Here is an 18970-nt window from a genome sequence, read left to right as displayed (position 1 = left end):
ATAAAGAGAAATCAGTCCAAATGTTTTTCTGAAATGAGGCCCCTTTTGCATTGACGAATACTCAAGAGATTGCTACATTCAAAAGATATTACTTCCACATGTGGGAGGTGCTGATAGCAAGTAATTATAAAATGTGGGGTTTCAAATGGCTGTGACATTTTTCTTTGTTTCTAGGTATCAATTACTTATGAAAAAAAGATAACGTAGCAGCTCATTTTCTGAGAAATGAAGAAGGGAAGTAAACATTTGTGGGATGTGGAAGAAGACATTGGGCTGCCTACTTTCTCAGGTTGTTTCATTCCATTCTTGCCTCAGTGCTGGGAGGTATTAGTTTGACCCAACAATTCCACAAGTTTTATTCCCAGTTTCATAGATAAACACACCAAGGCCAAGTGACTTCCTCCAAATCACAGGGCTGGTAGACAGAAGGGCTGGAATTTGAAGCCAGGTCTGGCTAGCTTCGAACCTAATACAATCACCTCCAAAAGAGACCAACATGACCAGGATCCCGTGGTGCGCATCCAGGTATAATGATGCGTGGGCCTCCTCTACTACTGGACATGGGCTTGGGAAAGCCACACCTCTACTTCTTTCCTACCACCATAAACCTGGGCCTTATAAGCCAGAAAGGAGTTCAAGATACGGTTAAAAACAAACAAAAAAAGCCACTGACTTGGAAGGCAAGAGACACAAGCTCCAGCTCCAGTTCTGTTTCTCACTATATGATCTGGGGCAAGTCACTCCACCTGGTTTCCATTCCATTTTTTGCAAAATAAGGAGTTTGGAATAGACAGATGTTATCTAAGGTTTCTTTTGGCTCTAATAACTGAGTCTAATCTTTTTTTTTTTTTTTTTTGTTGAGATGGAGTCTCGCTCTGTCACCCAGGCTGGAGTGCAGTGGCGCGATCTCGGCTCTCTCCAAGCTCCACCTCCCAGGTTCATGCCATTCTCCTGCCTCAGCCTCCCAAGTAGCTGGGACTACAGGCACCCACCACCGTACCTGGCTAATTTTTTGTATTTTTAGTAGAGACGGGGTTTTACTGTGTTAACCAGGATGGTCTCGATCTCCTGACCTCATGATCCACCTGCTTTGGCCTCCCAAAGTGCTGGGATTACAGGCGTGAGCCACCGCACCCGGCCAACTAAGTCTATTCTTTAAACTCAAATCCTTGTTCTGGTACTACTTTGCTGACAGTATTTTAATGAATTCCTGAGAAGGCTGAGGCAGGGTACACCTAGAGAAGCTTTGGACAGTCAAGACCAAATCAGACACCTTCGTAGACCAGACAGAAGCAATGTGTGAACCAGAGCCTAAACAATTTCACTTGCTCTGAGATTCCCCTCAAACGAACTGCTGGCTGCTCGTCTTGCTTCCCCATTCCTGTTTTGCTTATGTGTAAATCTAAAAGAGGCGAGGTTCTCAGCAACTGATGGCTTCATTTATAGGTAGCCATCTTGCATGGTGACAATTCTCTGAAGCAATCAATAGGTGCGGGTGGATGTTCGAGGGTGAATATGACACAAGTCCCCAGGGATTTTTGGGTGCAAGGGGGCCAGGTGTTTGGGCCAGCTGACAGTGGGAGAGTGGTCAGGGTGAAAACTGCAGGGAACAGCAGGAAGCGGCAAGCAGAAAGGGCTGGCTGGCGTTACGGAAGGAACTGCTGATCAAGAACGCTGATTGTATTCGTGTGGGCAGTGCTAGAAGGAAAGCATTGGCCTGGCTTTTGGAAAGGGTAAGAAGTTGGGTCTCGGGGAGTTTTATGAAACACAGAGTTGAAATCGTGATCCCAGCCATTAGGTGGAAGGGTTTGGGGCTGAGAAAGAAGGCATAGGCCTGGTGGTGGTTTGGGGGGAAGTCCAGTGAGTAAGAGACCCTGGACTTTCTTTTCCTCACTCTTTTCCCTCCAGGTGTCTCTCTGTTGTATGCTTTCTCCTTTCCGAACGTTTCTCCCTTTATTTCTTTTTCGTTCTGTCCTTTAGTTGGTCATAATATGGCATTGGTGTATACAGTAGTCCCCCTCTTGTCTGCGGTTTCACTTTCCAGTTTCAGTTACCCTTGGTCAATCTCTCAAATATGTTTGAGAGTGAGTGGACACATTCACATAACTTCAATCATCTCTTACTGTGCCTCATTCATAAGTGAAACTTCATGATAGGTATGTACATACAGGAAAAACCATAGTACATATAGATAGGGTTCAGTACTAGCCACGATTTCTGGAGTCTTGCCACATATTGCCCAAGGATAAGCAGGGACTACTGTATTCACTTCAACAAACACAAAAAGAACGTTTTATGCTCCTTTTTCTTACATTTTTAAAGTTGAACACAAAACATTTTTTATTCCTCGTTAAGAACATCCTTTGAATTATTTTATGTTGATTAACTTTTTCTCTATAATTGAAGAGCCCTTGATAGGCTGAGAGGAAATACTTCCATTCTAAATCACTAAGCCCACAATTGACACTCTTCCCTTCCCTTTTCCTAACCTAACACAGTGCCGTGTACAAAGCACTCAATAAATACATGGATTTGGGTACCCTCATGACTTTACAGCCACAATCAGCTACAGGCCAAAATTCACTAGTTTTTTTTATCAATCAATCCTTTTAGTAAGGACTAAAAGCTTACATATGGCTTACCTAAAAAGTTTTGAACAAGGCTGATGGTTATGGATTTCTGTAATTAGAAAGAGGAAATACATCTTAGTTAATCATGTAAGACATAGGCAACTATAAAATAGCTCAGGACTTTTTTTTTTAATCAAAATCTCTGACAACAAAGACAGCTTTTCCCTCTGCCAAACAGTTGCTACATGTACACCAGTCTGAATACTCACCCTCAGTGACACACTCTCAGAATAAAAGAGACTACAGAATGAAAGTTCTATTTCTATCTGTCCATGTATGATGAGCACATTTCTGAAAGATATTATTTAGGAATACGCAGCTATTGTGTACCTTATTCAATCTTATCTATTTAAAAAAGCATCATGGGAAAAAGCAACCACTGACTGGAAGCATTTAATCAAGTGGGATAAAAGCTGTGAGGATAGGCAGGTCGCAGTGGCTCACGCCTGTAATCCCAGCACTTTGGGAAGCTGAGGCGGACAGATCACTAGGTCAGGAGTTCAAGACCAGTCTGGCCAACATGGTGAAACCCCGTCTCTACTAAAAATACAAAAATTAGCTGGGCGTGGTGGCGGGCGCCTGTAATCTCAGCTACTTGGGAGGCTGAGGCAGGAGAATCACTTGAACCCGGGAGGCTGAGGCTGCAGTGAGCAGAGATCGCGCCACTGCACTCCAGCCTGGGCAACAGAGCGAAACTCTGTCTCATATTAAAAAAAAAAAAAAAAAAAAAAAGCTGCGAGGACAGCTTGGGGACAGAGGGCCTTAACCACCCTCACCCTACCATTAATAACCAGTAATAACTCATGACAACTTGGGCCAGGTGTTTTGAAGAGGAAGGAACTCTGGAAGTCTATTAACCCTTTCAAAGATGGTCAGTACCAAGGGAAACAATCATTACAGGGTAGATCGTAAAAGCTTCTGAAAAGTTGCTGTGATTAAGCAGAGCGAACAATTTCTTTGAGCTCATCCAGGGGCTTAGGGTCTGGGTTTCTTTATAAGACCATGAAACTAATTGACCATTCAGTTATATTAATCACATTCTCCTAGAGAGCAGCTCATCACCCGTTATTTAAAAAACCACAGCCTCAGAGTTCCAGGCTGTAATTTTAACTCAATTAAAAGGAAACCACAGGCCGGGCGCAGTGGCTCACGCCTGTAGTCCCAGCACTTTGGGAGGCCAAGGTGGGTGGATTGCGAGGTCAGGAGATCGAGACCATCCTGGCTAACACGGTGAAACCTCGTCTCCACCAAAAATACAAAAAATTAGCCAGGCGTGTTGGTGGGCGCCTGTAGTCCCAGCTACTTGGGAGGCTGAGGCAAAAGAATGGCGTGAACCCGGGAGGTGGAGCTTGCAGTGAACCCAGATCGCGCCACTGCACTCCAGCCTGGGTGACAGTGCGAGACTCCGTCTCAATTAAAAAAAAAAAAGGAACCATAGCCTTCAAGGACATGGGACTAGGCCCAGTAGCTTCTGTACTTGTGTTAATGTTGTCAAAATGAAGTATTTCCACAGGAAAGAAAAGTTCACTTGCCTAGCTATGCAGTAAGATAAACCTTACCTTGGTTGGTCTGCAGGTAGAGTTATCTCAATTGATTGTTTATGGTTACAGACTAAACCCTTGTTCTACTCTTTCCCCCTTCTCACTACTGCACTTGACTAGTCTTATAAAAATAAATTAAAGCCGGGCACAGTGGTGCACACCTGTAATCCCAGCACTTTGGGAGGCTGAGGTGGGCGGATCACGAGGTCAGGAGTTTGAGACCAGCCTGGCTAACATGGTGAAATCCCATGTCTACTAAAAATACAAAAATTAGCTGGGTGTGGTGGCGCGCGCCTGTAATCCCAGCTACTCGGGAGGCTGAGGCAGAACTGCTTGAACCCAGGAGGCAGAGGTTGCAGTGAGCCAAGATCATGTCGCTACACCCCAGCCTGAATGACAGAGCAAGACTCTGTCTCAAAAATATAAATAAATAAATAAATAAAGGCCAGGTGCAGTAGCTCACACCTGTAATCCCAGCACTTCGGGAGGCCAAGGCGGGTGGATCACCTGAGGTTAGGGGTTCAAGACCAGCCTGGCCAATATGGTGAAAACAAAAATACAAAAATGAGTCGGGCATGATGGTGGGTACCTGTAATCCCAGCTACTTGGGAGGCTGAGGTGTGGGAGAATCACTTGAACCCAGGAGGCGGAGGTTGCAGTGAGCCGAGATCACACCATTGCACTCTAGCCTGGGCAACAGAGTGAGACTCGGTCTCAAAAACAAAAGCAAAAAAAAGTACAAATAAAACCTCACCTAGTAATATTTCCTTCTTTTTATCACTAAAAATGATAGAGGCCGGGCGTGGTGGCTCATGCCTCTAATCCCAGCACTTTGGGAGGCCGAGGAGGTTGGATCACCTGAGGTCAGGAGTTTGAGACCAGCCTGACCAAAAGGTGAAACCCCATCTCTACTAAAAATACAAAATTAGCCGGGCATGGTGGCGCATGCCTGTAATCCCAGCTACTTGCGGGACTGAGGCAGGAGAACCGCTTGAAACTGGGAGGCAGAGGTTGCAGTGAGTCAAGATTGTGCCATTGCACTCCAGCCTGGGCAACAAAAGTGAAACTCGATCTCAAAATAAATAAATAAATAAAAATGATAAAGTATACCATCATAAGTTATTCCAGAGATACTGTTAGTAATTAGGATGCAGAATCTTTGTTGCAAAAATATTACCTAGAGTTCAGGGAAAAGAAAAACTCATCTTCTACTTTAAAGAACTGTCATTTAATGAAATTCCTGGAGTAAGTTCTGAACTCTGAATGTGCACTGTTACCAAAGCAGTTTCTTTCAAATTTACAAACTGGATTAGAAGCACGCTAAAGACATTCTATAGATACTGTGTGGTACTTTTTGAAGGAAGTTAAAGCTTTCTAAGATGTTTTGCAATACTAAGCACTCATGGAAAAACAGGGTGATGATCTCAAACATGAAAAAGCTGCAGATCGAAATGAACTTGGAGGACACCTTAACTGACAGGTAAACCTCTGGAAGCAGGCAGGGGCTGGGCAGCCTCACCTGGAATTTCCAGAGTTTCTTGTGCCTCAACAACACAGTAGACACCTGCTCATGTACACATCGCCTCTCGGCACACATTTCTTTACAAATCCCTGCTGTGTGGTACTGTTGTTCTTGCTTCTCTTTCTGTTGGGTGCGTTGAACATTTCTTCTCCTTCCTGCTTTCATTCTTTCCAATACTTGTTACTGCATCACCTCATTAACTAAGGACACTTCTGTTGCTGCCTTCTCCCTGCTACTCCTAGAACTAAGGGTAGACAGCTCTGCTTCAAGTGAGTTAGCACAGCTTTTTCAATTCATACATATTCAAAACAAGATGCAGACATTTCATGTTCAAAATGTGATATTCTTTTTTGTTGTTGTTGAGATGGAGTCTCGCTTTGTCGCCCAGGCTGGAGTGCAGTGGCACGATCTCGACTCACTGCAACCTCCGCCTCCCACATTCAAGCGATTCTCGTACTTCAGCCTCCCAAGTAGCTGGGATTACAGGCGTGCACCACCTCGCCTGGCTAATTTTGTACTTTTAGTAGAGATGGGGTTTCACCATGTTGGCCAGGCTGGTCTCGAACTCCTGACCTCAGGTGATCTGCCTGCCTTGGCCTCCCAAAGTGCTGGGATTACAGGCATGAGCCACCACGCCCAGCCCAAAATGTGATATTCTATATTGAGTCTTCCTTATTGCAAAGAGTAATGGAAAGGTGTCTGTGCATGGAGTCAGACATTCTCATCAAATAATAAATTTGGTCAATTTATGGTATTTAAAACATTGTTATTCTGGAGGGTAAGCTATGCCAGAAAATCTCTTTATACAACTGGTAGTGAATACTACTCAATGCACTTTTCCTAATGTTTGACTTTTCAACCCGGGTTTTCCAAAGTTCCCAGTTTATGCTTTCAAATGTGTATTTATTTATTTATTTTTGAGACAAGGTCTTGCTCTATCACCCAGGCTGGAGTGCAGTGGCATGATCACAGTTCACTGTAGCCTCAATCTCCTAGGCTCAAGTGATCCTCCCACCACAGCCTCCCAAGTAGCTGAGACTACAGGTGTGTGCCACCATGCCTAGCTAATTTTTTTATTTTGTAGAGACAGGGTCTCGCTATATTGTCCAAGCCGGTCTTGAACTCCTGGCCTCAAGCAATCCTCCTACCACGGCCTTTGAAAGCTTTACAGGTGTGAGCCACCTCACCCAGCTATATTTATTTTTAAAAGAAAAATGTTACAATGGGAACAACACATTTAAGATAATACTAGTAAACGTTTTGTCCATGAGGTCCATAATCGTTTCAATGAACTGAACATCGCTAATAAGTTAAAGATTGTACAGCAAAAGATAGTTGTCATGGCCCTGTACTAACAGGGACTCCCCACTGATTGTTACTTCTCCATATCTACAAAACCATGAAAACAGGTATTTACTGCAAGAGGCAGATGGTTTATGAATCAAAGAATCAGTACTTTATGTTATATAGAATTTTAATTATTTGGGCTGGGTGTGGTGGCTTACGCCTGTAATCCCAGCACTTTGGGAGGCCAAGGTGGGCGGATCACCCAAGGTCGGGAGTTCAAGACCAGCCTAACCAACATGGAGAAACCCCGTCTCTCCTAAAAATACAAAATTAGCGGGTCATGGTGGTGCATGCCTGTAACCCCAGCTACTTGGGAGGCTGAGGCAGGAGAATCACTTGAACCTGGGAAGCGGAGGTTGCGGTGAGCCAAGATTGTGCGCCATTGCATTCCAGCCTGGGCAACAAAAGCGAAACTCCGTCTCAAACAAAACAAAACAAAACAAAATTAATTATGTTTTATTATGTTTCTTTTTTTTTGAGACGGAGTCTAGCTCTGTCGCCCAGGCTGGAGTGCAGTGGCACAATCTCTGCTCACTGCAAGCTCCGCCTCCCAGGTTCATGCCATTCTCCTGCCTCAGCCTCCTGAGTAGCTGGGATTACAGACCCGTGTCACCATACCCAGCTAATTTTTTATATCTTTTAGTAGAGACGGAGTTTCACCGTGTTAGCTAGGATGGTCTCAATCTCCTGACCTCTCCTGACCTCGTGATCTGCCCACCTCGGCCTCCCAAAGTGCTGGGATTACAGGCTTAAGCCACCGTGCCCGGCCCTATTTCTTTAAAAATAAACAGCCAGAGTATTAATCAGAAGTGCTATTTTTGTGATCATGCCAGGTAAGAGAGGTCTTTCTTTCATGGTTTGCTGTCCGTTAACTGCAGGTGGCAATTTAACCTTCATCTTCCAGATTATGCTTGAAAACTCAGGTGCATACAATAAATAACTGCACAGATGTTCTATGAAACAAAATTCTGTTTTAGGATTTTATTTATTTATTTATTTTTTTGAGATGGAGTCTTGCTCTGTCGCCCAGGCTGGAGTGCAGTGGCGCAGATCTCAGTTCACTGAAACCTCCGCATCCCGGGTTCACGTCATTCTCCTGCCTCAGCCTCCCGCATAGCTGGGACTACAGGCGCCTGTCCGGCTAATTTTTTGTATTTTTAGTAGAGACGGGGTTTCACCATGTTAGCCAGGATGGTCTCGATCTCCTGACCTCGTGATCCACCCACCTCGGCCTCCCAAAGTGCTGGGATTACAGGCGTGAGCCACCACGCCCGGCTGTTTTAGGGTTTTAAAGAATTAAGCAAAACGAAAAGAAAAATAAAAACACCCTAGATGGGCCAGCGTGGTCGCTCACGCCTGTAATCCCAGCACTTTGGGAGGCCAAGGCGGATGGATCACAAGGTCAAGAGATCGAGACCATCCTGGCCAACATGGTGAAACCCCATCTCTACTAAAAATACAAAAATTAGCTGGGAGTGGTGGCGTGCACCTGTAGTTCCACCTACTCGGGAGGCTGAAGCAGGACAATCACTCGAACCCAGGAGGTGGAGGCTGCAGTGAGCTGAGATTGCACCACTGCACTCCAGCCTGGTGACAGAGGGAGACTCCATCTCAAAAAAAAAAAACCAAAAACATCCTCGACGAAAGACTAACTATACCGTCTTACACATCGCAAGTCTTTTTTCTTTTAAGATGAGATCTTGCTCTGTTGCTCAGCCTGGAGTGAACTGGTATGATCACGGTTCACTGTAGCCTCAAACTTTCGGGCTCAAGCAATCCTCCCACCTCGCTTTCTGAGTAGCTAGGACTACAGAAGCACAACACCACGCCTGGCTAATTATAAAAATTTCTTGTAGAGACAGGGTCTCGCCACCTTGCCCAGGCTGGTCTTGAACTCCCGGCCTCAAGCCATCCTCCTGCCTCGGCCTCCCGAAGTGTTGGGATTACAGGTATGAGCCACTGCACCCAGTTTCAAACCTTTACTTAGTAAATAAGTCTATAATGTGGTGAGTGGGTTTTATAGTTTTGATCCACCAGGGCAGGAGTATCCAATCTTTTGGCTTCCCTGGGCCACATTGGAAGAAGAATTGTCTTGGTCCACACATAAAATATACTAACACTAGCTGATGAGCTTAAAAAAAATTTCAAAAAAATATCATAATGGCTGGGCGTGGTGACTCATGCCTGCAATCGCAGCACTTTGGGAGGCCAAGGTGGGCGGATCACCTGAGGTCGAGAGTTCGAGACCAGCCTGACCAACATGGAGAAACCCCGTCTCTACTAAAAATACAAAAATTAGCCGGGCATGGTGGCGCATGCCTGTATTCACAGCTACTAGGGAGGCTGAGGCAGGAGAATCGCTTGAACCCGGGAGGTGGAGGTTGTGGTGAACCAAGATCGTGCCATTGCACTCCAGCCTGGGAAACAAGAGTGAAACTCGGTCTCAAAAAAAAAAAAAAAAAATCTCATAATGTTTGAAGAAAGTTTACCAATTTGTGTTGGGCCTCATTCAAAGCTGCCATGGGCTGCATGCACCCTACAGGCCGTGGGTTGGACAAGCCTGCATTAGGAGGTAGTTCAGCCTCTTGATTCCCCTTAATCCTGACCTAACTTCAATACACACCCTTGGGGCCAGGCGTGGTGGCTCACACCTGTAATCCCAGCACTTTGGGAGGCCAAAGCGGGTGGATCACCTGAGGCCACGAGTTCGAGACTAGCCCGACCAACATGGAGAAACCCCCGTCTCTACTAAAAATACAAAAATTAGCCGGGCATGGTGGCATGCACCTGTAATCCCAGCTACTCGGGAGGCTGAGGCAGGAGAATCGCTTGAACCCGGGATGCGGAGGTTGCAGTGAGCTGACGCCACTGCCCTCCAGCCTGGGCAACAGAGCCAGACTGCATCTCAAAAATAAATGAATAAATAAATAAATAAAACACCCTTGTCCCCTACCCCACATACTAGAAGCCTATCAGAACAGGCTTGAAATTAATTATTTGCTCCCAACATGACCAAAGTTGCCACTTGCCAACAGTATTTCTTCATTTTTCTTTTCTTTTTTTCTTTTTCTTTTTTCTTTTTTGAGACAGAGTTTCGCTCTTGTTGCCCAGGCTGGAGTGGAATGGCACAATCTCAGCTCACCACAACCTCCGCCTCCCAGGTTCAAGCGATTCTCCTGCCTCAGCCTCCCGAGTAGCTGGGATTACAGGCATGTGCCACCACACCCGGCTAATTTTTGTATTTTTAGTAGAGACGGGGTTTCTTCATGTTGGTCAGGCTGGTCTTGAACTCCCAACCTCGGGCGATCCGCCCAACTTGGCCTCCCAAAGTGCTGGGATTACAGGCATGAGCCACTGCACCCCGCTAGCCAACAGTATTTCAAACCACAAACCACTCATCTCCACATATTCTGTATTTTAGTCATATGAACAGGCCAGATTCGCTATGTGTTTTATGCAGACCTCGTTCTGTGCTCCCCTGAATGTACTGCCCATTAAGTTTACCTCCTGACACACATCTTTACTGATTTCTCCACTAGCAGTTTTCCTCTCAACTTTGGGCAGTTCGGGGATTTTCTCTGTTACTTTCTTATAGAATTCTTCTCGCACTGTCTGGTATTTCTTCCTGCCTGTCTAATCCTCCCCGCAGCTCTAGGAGGCAGGGATGATTCTGGGTATTTCCTTCACTGCCCAGCACACGCCTCACATATGAAAGTTCTTCAATAAATGTTTGCCGCATAGCCAGGCACGGTGGCTCACGCCTGTAATCCCAGCAGTTTGGGAGGCTGAGGTGGGCGGATCACGAGGTCAGGAGATCAAGACCGTCCTGGCTAACACGGTGAAAACCCGTCTCTACTAAAAATACAAAAAAATTAGCCGGGCGTGGTTGCAGGCACCTGTAGTCCCAGCTACTCGGGAGGCTGAGGCAGGAGAATGGCCTGAACCCGGGAGGCGGAGCTTGCAGTGAGCCGAGATCGTGCCACTGCACTCTAGCCTGGGCGACAGAGCAAGACTCCGTCTCAAAAAAAAAAAAAAAGTTTGCCGCATAAATAAATGAAAAGTTCCTTGCTTTGTTCAGAGTATTAGGATATGCAGTTTGGTGATCTGCCTGAAGTGTACCTGAAAGGACTATGACCTCTATTTATCAAAAGGAGGCTGATCCAAAGAGAGTGGGCGTGTCTATAGCTATAAAGACTCCTTCATCTTCCCCAGATATCTCCTCCGAAGTGGGTATTTGGCTTATCCCTCAGAAGGCTGTATAGGTTTAGTAAATATCCCATGTAAACAAATGTAAATATCCTTGCTGGATCCCTTTAGGAAGGACCAGCACAATATATGAATTCGTTATAGTATGAGGTGATATTGGCAATGGGGAGAGCCTGATTTGCAAACTTGAGGTTCATGGTGGTTTTAAAGAGACTATCAATCAAGTGGTCACACAGCAATTCAGTGAAAGTCACCCCCATTGGTGGGTAAGGAATACTTTATAGAAGACCCATACTTATAGCTAGACATTCTGTTTTCTCTGACTTTATACTGACATAAAAACATTTCATATCATTTATTAGTGCAAATAATTTTAGTTTTTTTCTTTCTTTTTGAGACAAGATCTTGGCTCACTGCAACCTCCGCCTCCCGGGTTCAGGCGATTCTCCTGCCTCAGCATCCTGAGTAGCTGGGATTACAGGCACCCGCCACCACGCCCGGCTAATTTTTGTATTTTTAGTAGAGACGGGGTTTCACCATGTGGGCCAGGCTGGTCTCGAACTTCTGACTTCAGGTGATCCACCTGCCTCAGCCTCCCAAAGTGCTGGGATTACAGGCATGAGCCACCATGGCCGGCCTTATTTTCGTTTTTTTCTACATACTCTTTGAATTCTTTTTTTTTTTTTTTTTTTTTTTGAGACAGAGTCTTGCTCTGTCCCCCAGGCTGGAGTGCAGTGGCGCGATCTCGGCTCACTGCAACCTCCGCCTCCCAGGTTCATGCCATTCTCCTGCCTCAGCCTCCTGAGTAGCTGGGACTACAGGCGTCCGCCACCATGCCCGGCTAATTTTTTTGTATTTTTAGTAGAGATGAGGTTTCACTGTGTTAGCCAGGATGGTCTCGATCTCCTGACCTCGTGATCCGCCCGCCTCGGCCTCCCAAAGTGCTGGGATTACAGGCGTGAGCCACCGCGCCTGGCATACTCTTTGAATTCTTTAGGATAAAATCAGTTAAGGGCAAAACAACAAAACAAACATTAAGTAAATATACAAAAAAGATATTTCTAAGGTCATTGAGAAATTTACTTACCAATTACTTGCAGAAATTCTGTGTTGCTGATTTGTGAGTCACTGATGCTAAACGTTTCCTCTTGTCTTACCTCTCCCAGTAAAAATCCTTCCTAAAAGTAATTAAAGAAAATAATTGCAGACTAAAAATAAAAATGACTTTTACTGAAATTAAGAGGAATTGAGGACATATAAATTTATAATTTTCACAATAATCCAAACAAGCTTCCCATGTAAACCACTATTCTATAAACCAACAAACAGTCTAAAGCAATCTGAGGTATATCTATTAATTGGATTGTTCCAAAAAAGGATAACAAGATAAAATATTATTTTAATCCCTTCAACTCCTCCCTGTTTTTGGAAGAGTGAATTTCATCACCTAAATCTTAAGTATCATAACCAATGTCAAAAAACTCAAGAAGTAGAAATATTTCAAAGTTGCTTTCTTGAAATCACATACAATTTATTTTGTTGTTGTAAAAACATCGCTGATGATGAAAAGATAAAGGTAACACAATGACAACTAAATGCTTTTATACAGGCTGGCATAGAAAATTAGGATTTTAGCAAAACAATTAAATTCCCTATCATCCACATGAACCTTTTTCTTGTCTTTTTTTTTTTCTTTTTTTTTTGAGACGGAATCTTGCTCTGTCACCCAGGCTGGAGTGCAGTGGCGCGATCTCTGCTAACTGCAAGCTCCACCTTCCGGGTTCATGCCATTCTCCTGTCTCAGCCTCCTGAGTAGCTGGGACTACAGGCACCCGCCACCATGCCTGGCTAATTTTTTTTTTTTTGTATTTTAGTAGAGACGGGGTTTCACCGTGTTAGCCAGGATGGTCTCGATCTCCTGACCTCGTGATCCGCCCACCTGGGCCTCCCAAAGTGCTGGGATTACAGGCGTGAGCCATCGTGCCCAGCCGAACCTTTTTCTTTAATAAATGCAGGGGTTAACTTATTTACACTTTTGGAGGGCATTTACCACCACAGTTGATTGGCTCATTACCTACTCTTTGTGTACTTGCGCCATGTTCTGCACAAGCACAGCTGGGAGAAGACATACTCTAAATCCTAAAGTAACTTTCCTATACAGAGGGTTGAACTGAGAAGCTGTCCTGGAATCTCTCTCCCCAGATATCACACGGCTTACTCCTTTCCTTCATTCAGGTCTTTACTCAAATGGCACCTTAGCGGAGAGGCCTTGCCTGACCAACTTAATGGAAATAGCATCTGCCAGGCACTCTGCCCCCTTTACCTTACATTCTTTTTCTTCTTGGTCTTCTCACTATCCATCATATTACATATTTATAAATAAATACATTTATTATCCCTTGCCAGAATGTAAACTCCACGAGAGCAGGGACTGTGTGCTTATTCACTGCTCTATCTCAGCACCCAGCACAATGCCTAACACTTAGTAGGTGCCTCACTAACAGTGGTTGAATAAATTTGTTGAAACAATGCCCTTGTACGATATATCCTTCTATTCTAAGTTGATCCTTCAAATCAATTAATGAAGTTTCCTGTTTAAAAACATTTCCAGTTTAAAGTGAGAATCTATGGGAGTGGGGAAAGACAGACACTTTTTTTTTTTTTTTTTGAGACGGAGTCTCGCTCTGTCGCCCAGGCCGGACTGCGGACTGCAGTGGCGCAATCTCGGCTCACTGCAAGCTCCGCCTCCCGGGGTTCACGCCATTCTCCTGCCTCAGCCTCCCGAGTAGCTGGGACTACAGGCGCCCGCCACCGCGCCCGGCTAATTTTTTGTATTTTTAGTAGAGACGGGGTTTCACCTTGTTAGCCAGGATGGTCTCGATCTCCTGACAAGACAGACACTTTACAGCCTAGTTTTTGTATTTGATTTGAGGAGGGGGAGTGTCCTAAAATACCAAATAATCACAAAGCATTTCTTAAACTTAGGAAATACATAGGCCGGGCACGGTGGCTCTTGCTTGTAATCCCAGCACTTTGGGAGGCCAAGGTGGGTGGACTGCCTGAGGTCAGGAGTTTGAGACCAGCCTGGCCAACATGGAGAAACCCCGTCTCTACTAAAAATATAAAAACTAGATGGGTGTGGTGGTGCGCACCTGTAATCCCAGCTACTAGAGTGGCTGAGGCAGAAGAATCGCTTGAACCCAGGAGACAGAGGTTGCAGTGAGCCAAGATTGTGCCACGGCACTCAAGCCTGGGTGACAGAGCAAGACTCTGTCTCAAAAAAAAAAAAAAGAAAGAAAAAAAGAAATATATATATTCCCTTAAAAAAAAAAAACTCTCTGAGATCCAAAGGAGTGTCCATGACTACTAATTTGAGAAACACTGCCTAAATCAGCTTGTTTTACCCTAAGAAAATCTTTCAGTTATGAATTCTCACCATAAAAGCAGTTTTGTCTTGTCACAAGCAAAAGACAAACAAAACAAATACCCACTTTCAAAAAATCAAAGTGAAAAAATAATTTCATATTCACACAGAACTTTAGACTTAAGAACATAGCTAGATTCCTAGTATTCTACAGCACTGGGTTGCTGGATTTAGCAAAAGATACAAGACACACAATAAAATTTTAATTTCAGATAACAAATAATTATTTTGTAAGTTTTGGGATATACTTATACTATAAATAAATTGCTATTTATCTAAAATTCAAATTAACTGAGTGTGCTGTATTTCATCTGGTAACCCTACAACAGTCTTCCATTTGTGGAATAATGATATAACTCAACAGTGACATCAAGAAATTCTAGGTCAGATGCGGTGGGTCACGCCTGTAATCTCAACACTTTAAGAGGCCAAAAACGGAAGATCGCTTAAGGCCAGGAGTTTGAGATCAGCCTGGGCCACATAGCAAGACCTTGTCTGTAATTTTTTTTTTAAAAGGACATTCTAAAGCCAAGTACAAGTGGAATGTTTATACATCTACTGGTCTGGATTATCTGAGCCAATGTTCCTTTATAGTAGGAGTTGGCAAACTATGGCATGGGGACTAATTCCAGCCTAATGCTTATTAATGTACGGCCTGTAAGCTAAAAATGGTTTCTATGTTATTTTATTATTATTATTTTTGTAGCCCAGGCTGGAGTGCAATGGCGCGATCTCGACTCACCACAACCTTTGCCTCCCGGGTTCAAGCGATTTTCCTGCCTCAGCCTCCCTAGTAGCTGGGATTACAGGCATGTGCCACCACGCCTGGCTAATTTTATATTTTCAGTAGAGACGGGGTTTCTCCTTGTTGGTCAGGCTGGTCTTGAACTCCTGACCTCAGGTGATCTGCCCGCCTCAGCCTCCCAAAGTGCTGGGATTACAGGCATGAGCTACCGTGTCCAGCTAATAAGAGTCACTTGAATCTTTTATTGTCTATAGATGCTTTCTCCCAATAATAGCAGAGTTGAATAGTTGCTATAGAGACCATATGGCTTACAAAGCCTACAAAGTTTACTATCTGGCCCTGTACAGAAAAGTATGGTAGCCCCAGGTCTACAAATGAGTGGTTTTAAATTAATTTCTTGACTGGACAAAATAAGTATGTACTACAAAAGTAAATTGTTGGTTCTTCAACCTTAAAATTGAAATTATTTTCAAGGATTCCACATCTATAATTGTGGCAAAGTTAATATAAACAGGCATGGTCATATAAAACACAGTTGCAAACTATTGGCATTGGTGAAAATTTCTATGAAGTCAAGCACCACGCCTTGCAGAGTAGATATTAAGGGATATCTCTTGAATTAATTTTTTTCAACAGGTAGCTGCTTGTTCTTACAGTAATCTTGCCATATACATAAACTGTGATATTAGTAGGCATTCAAGAAATAAAGGACCCATTTTTAATAGTCCATGGACACTAGGGGTATCACAAACCCTTACATATGGAACTATATTACATTATTAAATAGCTGGTTGTAGTACCCTAGGCCATAGTCTTCAAAGCTGCTTCTGGAAAAACCCATGATGTATATATTCCTATTCCTATCATTAAGTTCTACCATCAACACTGAAGAGATGAAAGGTACAATAATTTAATTGCATTCAATTTACTAATGGAATCACCTCCCTGTGAAATCAGTTTTTATTAATGGAAGCTAAGATTGCTGACATCAAACCAAATGCAGTTCCTCCTTCTGCAGTGTACCATTTTGCTTTGTAATGACAACCAAAAACCCCACACATAGGTTTAATGAGTTTGAATCATTCACTATTAACATCACTTAAAATAATCCCCCAATTTGGTGGCCAAATTATATACCTCCTTTAAGAGAGAAGTGATCTAGTTTCACAAAGCATTTCCAATCAGAGGCCAATGACGTTAAAAGACAATTTGTAAAATAAAGACACTGAAACAGACAGGATCTGCTCCTCCTGTGGGCTCACAGCCTATGCATTTCCCATCACTCAGTAGTGGGCCTGTCACTTCCCTATTTCACTGTGACTAGTGAAAGAACTAGTCACAAAGAACTAAACACGCAACTTCAAGGAAATACAAAATAGACCCTGCACCGAACGCTCCTGTATACATTCTCCATTTTGCATCAGGGCGAAGAAAACACACAACCGTGTCTAACAAGTATCAGTAGTGACAGCCACGGTTTCACTCGCAGCACCCCCACGACAACCTGCGAGACCGGCGGGCGGGGCTGAGTACCTCGCCTACTGGACTAAACGCCCGGCCTTTAGATTCCTTCCCGACCCCGTGCGCCCCTCTTAAGTCTAGAAGCCTGACTTTCAGGGAGGGGCAGGCGCTCGGTTTCCACCGAGCGACTCCTGACACTGCAGGAGGCCAGGTGGGACAGTTTTGCTGCACGGGAGACGGCTGTGCCGGGACGGCCGAGCGGCTGAGAGCGCGAAGCCAGGGGGCCTGTCCCAGGGGCGAAGGAGCCCCCAGAGGCAAGAGCTCACCGGGGGCGGGAGCCGCCCGGGTCACCAGCTCCTCCGGCCGGCCCTGGTGCCCAGGGGGCGAGCCGCATGAGGTCCCGGCTTGGCCGCGAGCGCCGGCCTGAGACAGAGGCTGAAAGCCCCCAGCGGGCGCGGCAGGGGGCCCGGCACCTACGTGGTCCGCGTTGCTGTTGGCGCTGTGGAAACACACAGCACTGAAGGTGTAGCCCGAAATGGACGCCGCCATGATGGAAATCTCCAGCTACCCCATCATGCCCCGCGGAGGGCACACGGCCTTCCGGACGGCCCGACCCCTTGGCATCATGGGAAGTGGAGTCTGCGGCGGGCAGCGGCCGAGGGCCCTGAGCGCTCACAGTCTTGAAGGCTGAGGAACGCCGGTTTTTGCGATCGGAAGGACCCCGGCACCGTATCCTCCGCAGGGGTGTCGCTCCCGACACGCCTCAGACAGCGGTTGATAGTTCCGCAAACAGTTCTTTCCCTTTGCAAGTGAAACCTTAGTATTAAAAGACAACATTCTAGCCGGGCGCAGTGGCTCACGCCTGTAATCCCAGCACTTTGGGAGGCCGAGGCGGGCGGATCACCTGAGGTCAGGAGTTCGAGACCAGCCTGACCAACATGGAGAAACCCTGTCTATATTGAAAATACAAAAACTAGCCGGGCGTGGTGGCACATGCCTGTAATCTCAGCTACTCGGGAGGCTGAGGGAGGGGAATGGCTTGAACCCGGGAGGCGGAGGTTGCGGTGAGTCGAGATCGTGCCATTGCACTCCAGCCTGGGCAGCAAGAGCGAAGCTTCGTCTCAAAAAAAAAAAAAAAAAAAAAAAAAAAAGGCCAACATTTAGGCTGAGCGTGGTGGCTCGCGCCTGTAATCCCAGCACTTTGGGAGGCCGAGGTGGGCGGATCACGAGGTCAGGAGTTTGAGACCATCCTGGCTTACACGGTGAAACCCCGTCTCTACTAAAAATACAAAAAATTAGCCGGACGTGGTGGCGGGCTCCTGTAGTCCCAGCTACTCAGGAGGCTGAGGCAGGAGAATGGCGTGAACCTGGAAGGCGGAGCTTGCAGTGAGCCGAGATCGCGCCACTGCACTCCAGCCTGGGTGACAGACCAAGACTCCGTCTCAAAAACAAAACAAAACAAAAAGCCAACATTTGAGGCCGGGCGCGGTGGCTCATGCCTGTAATCCCAGCACTTTGGGAGGGGGGGGCGTGTGTGGGGAGTGTTAACCTGAGGTCAGGAGTGTTATGCGCGTTTGTGTGAAGAGACCACCAAACAGGCTTTGTGTGAGCAACAAGGCTGTTTATTTCAACTGGGTGCAGGCGGGCTGAGTCCGAAAAGAGAGTCAGCAAGGGAGATAGGGGTGGGGCCGATTTATAGGATTTGGGTAGGTAGTGGAAAATTACAGTCAAAGGGGGTTGTTCTCTGGTGGGAAGGGGCGGGGGTTACAAGGTGCTCAGTCGGGGAGCTTCTAAGCCAGGAGAAGGAATTTCACAAGGTAATGTCATCAGTTAAGGCAGGAACCGGTCATTTTCACTTCTTTTGTGATTCTTCAGTTACTTCAGGCCATCTGGATGTATACGTGCAGGCCACAGGGGATATGATGGCTTAGCTTGGGCTCAGAGGCCTGACAAGGAGTTCAAGACCAGCCTGGCCAACATGGTGAGACCCTGCCCACTCCCCTCTGCCCATCTCTATTGAAAATACAAAAACTAGCCGGGCATTCTGGTGCATGCCTGTAATCTCAGCTACTCAGGAGGCTGAGGCATGAGAAT

General features: G+C 45.6%; 1 protein-coding gene across 4 annotated transcripts in view, besides 4 other annotated features; it reads right to left on the bottom strand.

The window, feature by feature from the left end:
- Positions 1-17436, bottom strand: part of ABRAXAS2 (abraxas 2, BRISC complex subunit) — a 34849-nt gene extending 17413 nt beyond the window's left edge. Inside the window, exons 1-3 of one of the 4 annotated variants that reach the window (NM_032182.4) lie at positions 17354-17436; positions 12334-12424; positions 2643-2679 (exon numbers count right to left, since the gene is read on the bottom strand). In NM_032182.4, the coding sequence (NP_115558.3) occupies positions 2643-2679; positions 12334-12424; positions 17354-17425 (200 nt within the window). In that variant the 5' untranslated portion in view covers positions 17426-17436. Of the gene's footprint in view, positions 1-2642; positions 2680-5690; positions 6056-12333; positions 12425-17353 lie in introns of those variants that run through there. The other 3 variants (XM_047424888.1, XM_047424891.1, XM_047424889.1) reach the window with 3 other exon arrangements.
- Positions 16729-17282: an enhancer, noted in NCBI's record as "H3K27ac hESC enhancer chr10:126490542-126491095 (GRCh37/hg19 assembly coordinates)". NCBI's record gives its function as "activates a minimal SCP1, AML or CMV promoter by ChIP-STARR-seq in primed H9 embryonic stem cells {active_cell/tissue: H9 hESC(primed)}" and the evidence as "EXISTENCE:reporter gene assay evidence [ECO:0000049][PMID:30033119]".
- Positions 17161-17240: a silencer, noted in NCBI's record as "silent region_2920". NCBI's record gives its function as "represses an Ori minimal core promoter by ATAC-STARR-seq in GM12878 lymphoblastoid cells {active_cell/tissue: GM12878}" and the evidence as "EXISTENCE:reporter gene assay evidence [ECO:0000049][PMID:35858748]".
- Positions 17283-17837: an enhancer, noted in NCBI's record as "H3K27ac-H3K4me1 hESC enhancer chr10:126489987-126490541 (GRCh37/hg19 assembly coordinates)". NCBI's record gives its function as "activates a minimal SCP1, AML or CMV promoter by ChIP-STARR-seq in naive and primed H9 embryonic stem cells {active_cell/tissue: H9 hESC(naive and primed)}" and the evidence as "EXISTENCE:reporter gene assay evidence [ECO:0000049][PMID:30033119]".
- Positions 17341-17610: an enhancer, noted in NCBI's record as "active region_4187". NCBI's record gives its function as "activates an Ori minimal core promoter by ATAC-STARR-seq in GM12878 lymphoblastoid cells {active_cell/tissue: GM12878}" and the evidence as "EXISTENCE:reporter gene assay evidence [ECO:0000049][PMID:35858748]".

Source organism: Homo sapiens, chromosome 10, assembly GCF_000001405.40.
Source record: "Homo sapiens chromosome 10, GRCh38.p14 Primary Assembly".
Classification (NCBI taxonomy): Eukaryota; Metazoa; Chordata; class Mammalia; order Primates; family Hominidae; genus Homo; species Homo sapiens.
Note: the sequence above shows the minus strand (reverse complement) of the source record. Positions and strands in the feature narration are given on the sequence as shown.